This window comes from Homo sapiens, chromosome 6, assembly GCF_000001405.40.
Source record: "Homo sapiens chromosome 6, GRCh38.p14 Primary Assembly".
In the NCBI taxonomy this organism is placed as follows: domain Eukaryota; kingdom Metazoa; phylum Chordata; class Mammalia; order Primates; family Hominidae; genus Homo; species Homo sapiens.
In genome coordinates, this window is record NC_000006.12 from 147,361,711 (window position 1) to 147,376,593 (window position 14,883).

Consider the following 14,883-nt stretch of genomic DNA (forward strand, 5'->3'; position numbering starts at 1 on the left):
AAAAAATCTACATACTAGAACAATATATGTGCTATAAACAGTTCCCAAATTAGCATGGATAATTCAGCTGACCTCATCAAAACTTTAAAGGCGGAAGGACTCTTTGGGTGGACCAGAATAAAAAATAAGAGATCTTGAAAGAAAAGCTAGCTTTATAATATGTTTGAAATAATAATTAAAACTGTAAGATTATAACTGTCTTGTGTTTCGAAGTTTTCTACAAAGCTGCTTAAAATAGTGAAATTATCTGCTCACCAAACTTGGATGTAGAGTAGGGTTACTAGATTTAGTAAATAAAAATATAGGATGCCCAGTCAAATTTTAATTGATATAACAAATACTTTAATATAAGTGTGTCGCATTGGACAGATATGTAGCTTTTGGGACATACTTATACTAAAAAGTATTCATTGTTTATCTGAAATTCAAATTGAAATATGTGCTCAATAGAAGGCTGCAACCTTACTATTGATAAAACATAAATGCAGAGAGGAAAGGAAAGAATATTTTTTCTTCTAAAATGTTTTGAGAAAACATCAGGAACTCTTTTTCTTAGAAATAAAAGAAAATAATATGTGGAAAAAATACTGCAAGCTATAAAACCTTATATAAATTTAAAACAAAATATGAAAAATCTTTAAGAACTGAATGCTAACTCAGCTATCTACCCTGCCTTCCATTCCATTAATGTTATCACTTAGTTTACTCAGAAGTGAGCATAAAGCATATTTGTACATTATCAAGGATATAGGGGGAAAGGGTACCATTAACTGAAGCAAGTCAAAAAATGTAACCCCTACATTAAGATGATAAACTGACCAAAATAATGCCTTAAGTATATTTGACAGTTGTTGTAAATCATTTAAGAGGAATTATGATTTTAGAGGTAATGGTTGGAAATGTGTGAATTTTTTTTCATTGGCCATCTAGATCAGTATTGTCTATTAGAGATGCAATGCAAAGCCACATAAATAATTTTAAATGTTCTAGCAGTCACATTAAAAAAGTAAAAAACAGGTGAAATTAATTTTAATAACATTTTATTTAGTCCACTGTGTCCCAAATATTATCATTTTGGCATGTAATTATTGAAAGTGATTGAGGCATTTTACATTGAACTTTTTGGAGTGCTAAAGTCTTCAGATGGGGCATGTGCTTGAGTCTCACCATGCGCTGCAGTTGTTCACACACTTTGGACAAGGCGCGTTCCCAGTGCTCTGCAGCCACATGTGGCCCCACACTGACTGCTCCAGGTGCTATCCACTTGCTCTCCTGCTGACTGGTAGTGCACTTACTGGGTATAAGAGAAAACAGTTCCAGATACTCCAGCATGTCGTTTGTTTATTCATTTAAAGATCAGATATGTGTTTGCAAAATTTATCATATGTAATTAAATTGTGAGTGATCATTAGTGGCATTTATCTATTTGGAGCATGTAAGTTGACATCTTTTTCCAGACTCATAAATACCACGCTTAAAGTCCGAATCCTGTCAATGAGCCAGTGTTCAGTTCAATATGCGTTCAGCATATATTTAAGTATCTACTGTATGTCAAAGTTAGAATAAACGTGTTTACTCTGTTGATTAAAATATTTCAGTTATTTACTAGACTTCTATATTTTAGGTACTATATTGAGGTTAAAAGGTGCAATCTTGAGAATGGCATTTCTGGATACCACAGGCTGCTTAATACCACCTGCGTATGAACCCTGGAGAGAGCACAATGTTCCTGAAGAAAAAGACGAAAAGGAGAAATTGAAAAAACGGCGGCCTGTCTCAGTATCCCCCTCCTCTTCTCAGGAAATTAGTGAAAACCAGTATGCAGTGATATGTTCTGAAAAGCAAGCAAAAGTAATCTCACTGCCAACCCAGAACTGTGCTTATAAGCAAAATATTACAGAGACCTCGTTTGTGCTTCGTGGAGATATTGTAGCATTGAGTAACAGTATCTGCCTTGCCTGTTTCTGTGCCAATGGACATATAATGACTTTTAGGTAAGAGTTAGATATGTTTTAAAACACAGATATAGCATTTCCTCCCTCAAACTATACTACAGAATTGTTTAAAAGAAATGCTTTTTGTGTGTGTATAGTCTTATACTCTGAGAATTTATTTTTATTCTGTTAATAGTGAACAAGTATATGAGGAGTATAAACCATTTTTTATCTCCCACTCAAGTATACAAACTAAATCATAAGATTTATGAGGTCTCTGCCATTTTTAACAATGATAGTGTGTTCAAGACTAAAACCTACCTTATTATTAACAAGTTTTTAATTTTTTTCTCAAGTTTGCCAAGTTTAAGACCTCTGTTGGATGTGTATTACTTGCCCCTTACCAATATGCGGATAGCCAGAACGTTCTGCTTTACCAACAATGGACAAGCATTATACCTTGTTTCACCTACAGAAATCCAGAGACTTACTTATAGTCAAGAGACCTGTGAAAATCTTCAGGTAATTAATAAAAATATTACTGTAATTTCTTCAGAGGTAAAGTATTCTCTGAGGGCCCGTATACTGTCTGCCCCTTATTCTCATGGAACTATACAAGTGAGCCTGCTTGGGAAAATCCAGACTGTTGAATTAGACTTTCAGAGCACATGCTTTGAGACTCCCATGATTAAAAGTATCATCTTCAGACATCTGCTATAAGCAGCTTCATCTTACTAATCCATATCGGTCTTTCCAGTGATGGCAGAGAAATATGAACTGGTGCATACATTTTATAACTACTCTCTACATAGAATAAATATCTATTATACACACACACAGTCCTTTTTAAAGAAGTGTGTTAATGTGAAAATAAATGAGTCTATTTTCGGGCAAATTTTGTAATCTCAACTCCTATTCACAAGGATATTTACACAGAAGAAAAAAATGTTATTTGGTAGTTTTCCTCTAGTATGTTGGTTGATCTGTTTTTGAGAGACTATATACAAATTCTTTATATACAGAAATGTGTCCTTTTTTAAGTATTTGAGTGCTGTATGTGCTTCTGTGTGTATTCGAAGTGATCAGTTTAGCTTTACCTTCCAAAGTAAAAGTGCTCTGGAAATATTGAGCTAAAATATTGATTGATATTTGATATTTAGAGGAAAGTACTATCTAGAGGAACTTTATAATGAAAGTTTTTGCAATTATTTAGCCCTATTTTACACATTTGCAAATTTGAATTTGTGGCTTATTATTTTTAGAACATGAGCTTTAGAGTCAAGAAGGCTGAATTCAAGTCCATCTTGCTAACTATACAATTATGTAATCATAAACAAGTTACTCAGTGACTCTAAGCATCATCTTTAAAATTAGCATAGAAGTGGTATCTCAGAGGATATGATATGGATTAAAGGAGACAGTGCATGTAATGTGCTTAGCATAGTGCCCCTGGTACAGAGGGTGCTTAATAAATGTCAGATGTTGTTGTCCTCGTTGTGTTATTATTTCAGTAAGCTATACTATACTGGAAACCTAGTCCTGAGTAGTATTGTAAACTTTGAGAGTAAAACAAAATTACATATCTGACATTAGATTTAAATTCCCATTTATGTTTGGGTGAAAGTTATTTTTCAAAGATTCCTAAGTTTCTGAAGTAAAATTTTGTTTTCTGTCGGAAGGATAAACCTTAAAATTTTCCTTTTAGCATTTCCTTTCACTAGCAAAATGTTATGTTAAGAAATAATATTGACAATTGAATATTAATTCATTTCCATCTGAAATGTGGTCTTAATTCAACTACTTGAAAATCTAAACTTCACACTTTTCTGGGATCAATTTATTCTATCCTTTAGTTGGTGTTTTCTTTAATTATTCTTAAGTTAATAGCAGCCATAGTTTACTCATTTATGTTTAAATGAAATAGTCTTTTAGTAGTAAACTATATTTTAAACTATCTGCTATGTGCCTTCATCATACAGAGATAAACAAAAAATGGACTATCTTAAAGGAACTTGTGATAAAATGTTTTCTTTGGGCAATATTGACATGTTATTTACCTTTGTATTTTTAGTACCCAGAAATAATGCCTTGGTAAAATCTGTTGAAGACTATGATGAACTTGATAAACACTATACCTTGGTTCCCTGAGTACCCTTTTACATTGTGCATTCCTTCAACTTTAGCCCAAAATAAAGAAGATGCCTACAAATATTTATGGAGTTTCCAGTCAAGATGGAATAATAGGAACCAGATTAACCCTCCTTCCTGAAACAACCTAAAACAAAGCAGACAGAACTCATGAAACAATGGTTTTCAAATTACTGGACATCTGGCAATGAAGGAAAGTAATTTCTGACAGATAGGAATCAAAGAAGGTGTCCCAGCTTTAATGCCTTAATAGAGTGTTCAGGACATGGCACAGGGCGAAGGTACTAAGTTAAAGCCTGGCAGACTTCCCAAGTTGAAGAGGCAGGAACAAGAGTTTGGGGACACCAGGTAAATTCGAGAGAAAAGAGCTACAAAGAGAAAGAACCCTGGAGATGTGCAGAGTCCCCCTGAGTATACCATACGTGCTATTCAGCACGTACACGTGACTAAGCTTTCAGAGCAGAAAAAGAACCATCTGAAAGGAATAGAGGATTTGTAGAAACCATTCCAGGAACAGTGCTTGATCCCAACAACCAGACTGGAGAAACCCATAATTTGTGTGGATATTAGTTTCCTGAGGCCACAAACTTGGTGGCTAAAACCAGTAGAAAATTACTTGCTCATACTTGTAGAAGCCAGAAGTCCACAATCAGTTTTACTGAGGCAAAATCAATGTGCTAGCAGGGTCTTGCTCCCTCCAGAGGCTCTAAAAGATAATTACTTATTGCCCCTTTGTTTCTAGGAGCTGCTGGTATTCCTTGACATTGGGCCACATCACTGGAATCTCTGCCTTTATGGCTGCATTACCTCCTCTTCTGGGTGTCAAATCTACCTCTCTTTCTTAAAAAGACACTTGTAATTGGATTATAACCCATTCAGTAGTCCAGAATAATTTCCCCAGAGCAAGATACTTAATCACATCTGCATAGACTCCTTTTCCTTGCCAGGTAATATTTGTTGGTCCAGAGATTAGGACCTGATATCCTTGGATGGTCCGTTATCAGCCACTACTCCAGATATGCCTAACAAATCGCAAAAGCAAGAATCAAAAGGATGAAAATGTTTTCTGTCAGAATGAAATTCAAGAAAACTTAAAGGAAATAAAAACTATTTAGCACCCAGTGAGGTAAAAATCGCAATGTCTGGTGTCCAGTCAGTTACCAGGCATGGAAAGAGACAGAAAAACATGAGCCATCATGAGGAGAACAATTAGCAGAAACCAAACCAGAACTGACATACATACCAGAATTGGCACACAAAAGGATATTAAAACAATAACAACTGCGTTCCATATGTTCAAAAAGTTAGAAACATGAAAGATACAAAAATAAAATCAAACTTCTAAAGATGAGAAACTGTAGTGTTTGAGGTGAAAAATATGCTAAATGGCATTAACAGCAGATTTGACATTACAGAAGAAAAGATAGTGTACTTGAAAGTATAGCAACAGAAAAAAATAACAGTGTTTGAACTTGGCAAACTTATAGCACTAAAACACCTATATTAGGAAAGAAGGAGGTCTCAATGCAATGATGTCAACTTTCACTTTAAAGAACTGAGAAAAGGCCAGGCGTGGTGGCTCACGCCTGTAATCCCAGCACTTTGGGAGGCCGAGGCGGGTGGATCACAAGGTCAGGAGATCGAGACCATCCTGGCTAACACAGTGAAACCCCGTCTCAACTAAAAATACAAAAATTTAGCCGGGCGTGGTGGTGGGTGCCTGTAGTCCCAGCTACTTGGGAGGCTCAGGCAGGAGAATCGCTTGAACCCGGGAGGCGGAGCTTGCAGTGAGCTGAGATCACGCCACTACACTCCAGCCTGGGTGACAAAGCGAGATTCTGTCTCAAAAAACAAAAAAACAAAAACTGAGTAAAGCAAATTAAACCCAAAGTAAACACAAGAAAAAAAATAATAAACATCCAAGTGGAAAACAAAGAAACAATAGAAAAACATCAATGAAATCAAAACTAATAAAATTAATCTCAAGCCATATGAAGAAAGAAGTTATAAACTATTAATATCAGTAATAAGAGAAGTCTCATTACTATATATTCTATAGATATGAAATGGATAAAAAGTGAATATTATGAACAAGTTTATGCCAAAAATATTCAAAACCTTAGATGAAATGGACAAATTTCTTTAAAGACAAATTACCAAGCCTCACTGAAAAAAAAATAGATAACCGAAATAGTCCTGTGTCTATTAAAGAAATTGAAATAGAGGTTAGGAACCTTGGACCAAGAAACTTCCAGGCCTAGATGGCTTCAGTGATGAGCTCTATCAACATTTCAGGAAGAAATAACACCGGTTCACAAACTTTTCCAAAAACTGAATTAGGATTGCTTCCCAGCTTATTCTATGAAGGAAGCATTAACCTGATAACAAAATTAGACCAAGTTATTATAAGAAAAGAAAACTACCTATAAACCAATATCTCTCATAAATATAAAAGCAAAATTTGTTAAAAAAAAAAAATTTTTGCAAATTGAATTCAGCAATATATCAAAGGGATAATACATTATGACCAAGTGAGACCTAATCCCAGGAAAGTAGGATTGACCTAACGTTTGAAAATCAGTCAATGTGATCCATCTTATTAAAAAGCTTAAAAAAGAGCAGTTGACAAAATCTAACAAATATTCCTGATTTTTAAAAATCTCTACAAACAAGGAACAGAAGAAAACTTAAAGGACATGTAAGAAAAACCCACATCTCAAATAATATTTAGTGATGAAATACTTAATTCTTTCTCCCTGAAATCAGCAATTACAGAAGAATGTTCACTCTCACCACTTACATTCAGTGTTGTAGTTAAGGTTCTAACCAGTGCACTCAGGCAAGGAAAAGAAAAGGAAAGCGGCTGTCTTTATTCACAATGACATGATCATCAGTATAGGAAATCTAATAAAATCTACCATAAAGGATACTAGAATTAATCAGTGTGTTTGGCAAAGATGTAGATTATGAGATAAATATACAAAAATAATTTTATTTCTATATATTAGCAATGAACATTTGGAAATTGATATTTTAAAAACCATACCATCTATAATAGCAACAAAAATATGAAATACTTTGGGATAAATCTAACAGAAAATGAAAGATCTCTACACTGAAAAACTATAAAATATTAATAAAAAATTTTTTAAAGTCTTAAAAATTTTTTAGAAAATTTTGTAGGAATTGACAAATTTATCCTAAAATTCATACGTAAATACAAGAGAACTAAAATACACAAAACAGCTCTGAAAAAAATGGAAGGGCTAACACTACCTTATTTCAAGATTATTATAAAGCTGCAGTAATCAGTAGAGAATGGTATTTTTGGCATTGAGATGAATGGATCAGAATAGAATATCCAGAAATAAACACATACATGGACAACTGATTTTTTTAAGGAAGGCGCAAGGCAATGCAATGGAGAAAGGATTGCCTTTTCAACAAGTAGTGCTGGAACTATTGGATATTAAAATGCAAAAAAAATCAGCTTTGATCCACGCTTCACACCATATACCAAAATTTATTCAAAATGTATTATGGACCTACATGGAAACCCCAAAACTACAAAATTTCTAGAAAGAAACTTAAGAAAACATCTGTTACCTTATTTTGGGAAAAGATTTATTAGCCATGACACCAAAAGCAACATCCATAAAAGAACAAATTGATAACTTCAACAAAACTTAAAATTTCTACTCTTCAGAAGACACTTTTTAAAATGAAAAGACAATTTATAGATGGGAAGAAAATCTGGGCAAAACATATATCTAATAAAGGACTTGTCTCTAGAATATATGAATGACCCTTAAAACTCACCAGAAGGAAGAGAAACAACCCAATAAAAACATAGACAAAATATTCAAAAGGAAAGCTCACCATGAAAAGATTCTCAACATTATTTATCATTAGAGAACTGCAAATTAAAACCACAGTGAGATACCATTAAACCCCTTTGAGAGTGGTTGAAATTAAAAAGAATACCATGCCAAGTTTTGGCAAGGATATAGACGAACTACAACTCCATACAATGCTGATGGGAATGTAAAAAACTATAACCACTTTGGAAAACAATTCTGGAGTTTTCTAAAAAGTTAACATTCATGAACCAAAGACCCAGCCACTTTACTCATTTTTTTTAAATTAAAAGAAAAGGAAATTTGTATTCATAGCCGCTTTATTTGTAATAGCCAAAAACTGGAAACCACCCAGATGTCCTCAACAGATGAGTGGAAAAACAAATTGCAGTTTATCATACAGTAGAATTCTAGTCAGCAATACAAAGGAGTAAACGATGCAATCAGCAACATCAGTGAATCTCAGAATAATTATGCTTAATGAAAGGAGCCAAGAAAAAGAGTACATGTTGTTCTATTTATATAAAAACTCAAGAAAATACAAATTATAGTGAAAGAGCAGATCAGCAATAACTTGGATATGGGGTTGTTAAAGAAGGAATGAGAGAAGGTCGTACAAAGGAGCAGAAGGACACTTGAGAGTGATGGATATATTCACAGTGTTGATTGTGGTGATGGTTTCATGCATATATGCATATGGCGAAATTCACCAAATTGTACACCTCAAATATATGCCAGTTTTTGTATGTCGATTATACTTCAGTAAAGCTGTGTAAAAGATTAATGGATTCAGGACTTTTAATTGTCATTGACAGGCAATTAGTCAATGGTATGTTTATAGATTGAAATACTTAAGTTTCTTTTTACAGTATTATTCTTAACTGTACCATAGTGAAAAACACAGAGATAATTTATAATAAACTGTTTTTTTCAAATGGACTATAATATATTCATTTGTGAACCCTAACCAAAATTTGCTATAATCGTAGAGGTGGAACATACCAATTAATTCAGTTTAAAACAACTAAGTAAGTAACTCTGGTAAGCACCTCAGGATTATAATTTATAAACAAAACCCCAAGTAATCACTGTAAACAACTGATGACAGTTGAACTGTTTAGCTTCTTATATATATTGTGTATTCAGTATGAAGTTTATTGCTGTGTGTTTATCCTGGAGATATTTATTTTTTCAGACTCAATACTCTTACAATATAAAGTTTTCTTAAAATGATTAAAATCAGTGATTATTTGATGCACTGTAAAGGACTTTGTAGTGGCATCTAATGTATGGATAACCAAAGCCCATACATTGACCCATTCATGAAATTAGTCCTAAATTTTACCATTCTAACCTTGTTAGCTTACATGCAAGACAAATGATATGCAAGAGTCTAAAATCAGACAAGTATATTTATTTCTGAATATTTATATTTTAGAAGAGTAATTAAGTCCAATGTCTTGTTTCAGAAATACCATCTACTATGAATAGATGTAGCAAGATCACAGAAATAACAAATCTGTTTTAGATTTCACCAACATACACTAGCATTAACATGAATCATTCTAAATAGTAGATTTACTTATAATAAAAAGCCTTATTTAAATAGAAGTGAAAAAATACCTATATATTTTATGTATTTTCCCAAAACCTTTATATTAAGACTGCAGATAATCTAGACTTTAAGAAACATTGAGTTTTCAACTCCCTTTAAAGATGTCTGTTCATAATGTTAACCTGTAGATAAATGACTTGTGTATTTTCTAATTGGTTTCATCTCTATGTGATAGATTTTTCTACTTCTGTACATACACTATTGATGTCTACTCCTGGCACTTTATATGCTCATTATCTTTAATCCTAGTAATGTTCCTGAGAGGCAGTTATCATTATCTCCCCCTTTTAAAGTTGAAGAAGCCATTTCTTTGACAGACTAATTTGACTAAGAGTCTCCTGCTAGTAAAAGGCAGAAATTGAGAATCAAATCCAGGTCCATCTGGTTCCAAAGTTTATACTCATTCTACTACAGAGAATATAATGAGTTTAATCTGGTGTTTTTATATTTCTTACTTTACCCTTGTAAAATTGTAAGCTCATTAAACACCAAATAAGAAATGCAAACTGTAATTCTAAAAATGAGGTAAAATTTTTTAAAAAGCATACCTTTAAACTATCGCTGTTGGTATGTCATATTCTTCTTTTGATTTAGCATGAGACACCCAAATGATAGCTGTGTTGCTGTTATTGATCTTTTTTACGTTGTAACAATTTAATACATATAGTTTAAATTAGGATCTGTGAAATACTGTTTTTAAAAGATTTAAAATATGCCTAAAATTGCCTTTGTTATAGAGTTTAATATAAATTCAATATAATAATAGACATCAGTATATTCTATAGTGGGTTTTAACAAGTTTGATTTATTGAATTCAGAAAGTGTTTTATTCCAGGTTTACTACACTTTATAGAAATCCAGAGGAAGGAAAATAAAAACGTAAGAGCTTCAGTCCACTTCAGTCTTATAAATAAAACTGTTGTGTAATGTTAATAATTATTTCCTCCCATATGCAATCTGGGTGGAGGGATAATGTTAATATGGATATGTCTAAAAGAAAACCTGAACAGCCTTTACCAGCCTTCTTAGCCCAGCCCCAAGGAAGAAACCCTGAAAAATACATACTTTTATTCCAACTATAATGATGTAGTAATACCAGAGTATAGCAGAACTCCTATATAAATGTTACTACCGTCCTTTTCCTTTTTTTTTTTTTTTTTTTTTTTTTTTTTTTTTTTTTTTTTTTTTTTTTTTGAGACAGATTCTTTTGCCCAGGCTGGAGTGCAGTGGTGCAATCTCTGCCCACTGCAACTTCCGCCTCCCGGGTTCAAGCTATTCTCCTGCCTCAGCCTCCTAAGTAGCTGGGATTACAGGCGCAGGCCACCACGCCCTGCTAATTTTTGTATTTTTAGTAGAGACAGGGTTTCACCATGTTGGTCAGGCTGGTCTCGAACACCTGACCTCATGATCCTCCCACCTCGGCCTCCCAAAGTGCTGGGATTACAGGTGTGAGCCACCGTGCCCAGTCACTACCATCCTTGTCTTAGAAAAACTCTTCTTTCCTCTTTTTGTATTGTCAACAAAACCAGTAACATGTCAGCAGTCTTTTCTCCTTTTATCATTTCTGCACTCTAAAAAATATTGACAGTAATTTCAGAAAAATCTGATGATGTACAAGGGAAGAGTTCCCATCTCTCTGCCAGATTTCTGAAATTCCAGGTGTATGTTGGCATAATTCTCTTCCTAGCATGTGTTTATGAGAAAAGAAGTTGGTGTCTAAATTATAAATTTTCTGACTCAGCTAAAAGTTATAATTCCAAAACTACATATCATCATTATTACACTGGACTTTTATACTTGCTGTTAAAAAGTTTTCTTCTTTCTGGCTGGGCATGGTGGCTCATGCCTGTACAGCACTTTGGGAGGCTGAGGTGGGTGGATCACTTGAGGCCAGGAGTTCAAGATCAGCCTGGCCAACATGGCGCAAAACCTGTCTCTACAAAATACAATAATTACCCAGGCATGGTGGCGTGTGCCTGTAATCCCAGCTAGTCAGTGGCTGAGACACAAGAATCACTTGAACCCCAGAGGCAGAAGCTGCAAGTGAGCCAAGATCGCATCACTGCACTCCAACCTGGGTGACAGAGTGAGACTGTCTCAAAAAAAAAAAAAAAAAAAAAAAAACTTCTTTCTAATGTAATTATTAATCCTATTATCAATTGATATGAGTTATATGAAAATTTTGTCTGAAAGATTAGAATCTCCTGACACTCTTAAGCAAAAATACTGTTTGCCTAAAATGCAAACAAAGGGGCAAGCAGCAAATAAGTCATATTTTAGTTTTAGAAACACTGTTTGAATAAATCAGCACGTTCTGTATCTGATCGTAGGACATGTACTCATTAATTGTGAATCTCAACAGGTAATGTTCTGAGCTTAAGTTAAGGAGTTTACAGTGATACTTTTGTTCATTATAGTTTAGTTTCCCTGAAATTTCAACAGTGACAATTTGTTTTGATTTTAAAGGAAATGTTGGGTGAACTCTTCACTCCTGTAGAAACACCTGAAGCACCAAACAGGGGATTCTTTAAAGGCTTATTTGGAGGTGGTGCACAATCTCTTGACAGAGAAGAACTATGTAAGTTGATTTATTTAATTCGGATAATATATCTATAAAACAGGAACAAGCCATACAAAAATTTTTTTATACGTGTAAATTATGTTCACTTTTTTTCTCTTTGTCACAATTACTATTTCCATGTTTTAACAAAATACATAAAATTATTTTCTGTTATTCTATCCCAAATCAGGGAAATACTTTACTCAAGGAAATATCAAAATCAGAATAACTTTTGATTACTAAAAAGTAGTATTCACAACTTTAAGTAAATAATGTAGGAAGTACTTACTTTATGTTATGTTAATGCTATGATTTTCTTTAACTGATAACCTTAACTTTGAAAAAGTTTTTACTTTAACATTTAATCTGTCTTTCAAAACCTCTAAAACTATTCTAGTTCATTTAACCTTCATCATAAGATAAACCTTCTGGTTCATTTAGTACCTTCCACGTAGTTGATACAAGTAAATAGTTTGTCCTTGAATGAACTAATGAATCAGTGAATGCTTGACCTTTCTTATGAATGGCAGCTAGTATCTATCCTTTGATTTTTTTTTTCTAAAATATTTAGAATTGTTTCATGTTTGTTTGACTAATGGAAAAACTGTAACATTAAGTAGCAGTAAGTAGCAGTTCAATGAAATTTTTTTAAACTTACCCAAATGATTGGTCTGTAGTTTTAGTTCAGTTTAAAAAATGAAGACTGTTCAAGTCAGTGGGGACTGATAATTTGGGATAAAATTCTCACTGAGGAAAATTTATAACGTTATATAAAACTCAGAAAACGTATTTCTAAAATTTGTTAAAGACATCAAAGAAGTAATCATATAGTAAGAAGTTTTCAAGAACTATCTGTGGGGAAAGAAGCCCAGAGCGGAGAGCCTGACAACTTGGGGCACTTTGACTCTGCAGTACTTTGCTAATGAGGCTGAGGTACTAAGCTGTGCTAGAGCTAGCAAGATGGGCTCCCCAACCTGGCAAGAGTGGGGACCCTAAAATAACTCCTGCTATTTGCAAAGACACCAAAGGGCTATAATTTAAGAGTAAGGGTGAACTGGGAATAAACTACCCACCTCCCCCCACCACACACACTCACAACTTTCAGCTCAGCTTCAAATATCTGGGTGGCCTGTAAAATCTTCAGTGCTAATTGTTAATTAAGATTTTTCCAGACTGCTAGAGTCCCTAGCTCCTGGCAGAAGCAAATGAAAAAATGATCTCAGAAAGAATATAGTGCATTCCAAGTCCTCAAATTATCTCTACAAATAATTTTTCAAATATGTAGTCATAGATAACCAGGAACATAGATGACCAGAAACCACTCATAGATAACCAGGAACATTAGGAATCAACAGCATGATTAATAAAATAGAAAAGGCAGAAGGATAGATACTTCACATATTGGAATTATCAAACACAGACTACAAAATAATTATCATAATTATAGTGTTCAAGAGGCTCAGTATCATGCCTGAACATTGTATCAGGTAACTGAAAACTGTAAAAGTCAATAGCAGTAGATGTGAAAAAACCCAGAATGAAATTCTAGACCTGAAATACTCAAAAACTAGAATTAAAAACCCAATAGATAGGCTTAACTACAAATTAGACAAAAGTGAAGAAAGAATTATGTAACTTAAACATACGTTAGGAGAAGTCATCTAAAATGCAGCACAAAGAAACAAAATAAAACATGTAGGAGAGGATTAAAAAAAGAAGTTGCTGTGAGAAGATCTAACATAAGTTTAGACTTTCTCAAGAAGGAAATAGGAAGGACTGCAAAGAAGAATACTTATATATAAATATAAATATATATATAAAGAAAGAAGTCAGAAAACTTTTTAGAATTGATACAGTGATCCACAAATTTGAGAAGCCTAATTAATTCCAATGATGTTTTTAAAAATTTTCAATTAACTAATCTCATTAAAATATAGTACACCAGAGACAAAGAGAAAATCTTTAATGTGGCTAGAGAAAAATTATAGATATTTTTTAACAAATAGAGACTGATACATGACTTCTCAACAGCCAAAGATGGTAAGATGATCTTCTGTATATTGACAGAAAATTATATTGATTATATTTAATCCATAATTCTATACGCAAAAATTCTTTAAGAATGAGACATTTTTAGACAAATAAGTAAACCTTGCCATCACACTAAAGGGAATTCTAAAGGGTACACATCAGATAGAAGGAAAATAATCTTGGATGGGATGTCAGAGACACACAGTGATTTGGAACGAAACTGATGTGCATAAATATAATTAATATAATCTTTATGAACTGCAAAATAAAGGTGTATGGCATGTGTGTACACACATACACAGACAATAACATAGCCCAAAATATGTCATAACATTAAAGAGTTTAAAAACAGTAAGTGGATTTAAGGTGATCTGAGATTCTTGAATTTTTTGGGAAACTTGTAAAAAGTATTCATTGGCATTGATAAGGACACATGTAATTTATAGGATAACCTGTAAAACTTAGAAAAATAGAACATAACTTCCAGATGAATAGCAGATAAATCACAGTCATTCCGAAACAAAGCAAAAAGAGAGAGAGAATACAAAGCAGGTGGGATAAACAGATAGTACATAAAGCATGGTAGATTTAGCTTTAATATAAATAATGGTAATAAATGTAGGCAGAATAAATGTTTCAGCTAAAAGACAAAAATGGTTAGACTGAATTTGAAAAGAAAAGGCCAGCGTCGAGTCTCACACCTGTAATCCCAGCACTTTGGAAAGCTTAGCCGGGAGG

At 33.4% G+C, this 14,883-nt stretch overlaps 1 protein-coding gene across 11 annotated transcripts in view; it reads left to right on the forward strand.

The window, feature by feature from the left end:
- The window catches only part of STXBP5 (syntaxin binding protein 5), a 186,057-nt gene that overhangs the window by 157,294 nt on the left and 13,880 nt on the right, over positions 1–14,883 (forward strand). For all 11 annotated transcript variants that reach the window (XR_007059202.1, XR_007059201.1, XR_007059203.1 and 8 more), the window contains 3 exons: positions 1,625–1,994; positions 2,291–2,456; positions 12,021–12,132. Coding sequence is in view for 8 of the 11 variants with exons in the window: in XM_047418197.1 (XP_047274153.1) it covers positions 1,625–1,994; positions 2,291–2,456; positions 12,021–12,132 (648 nt within the window). In the remaining 3 variants the exon portion in view is untranslated. The remainder of the gene's footprint in view (positions 1–1,624; positions 1,995–2,290; positions 2,457–12,020; positions 12,133–14,883) is intronic.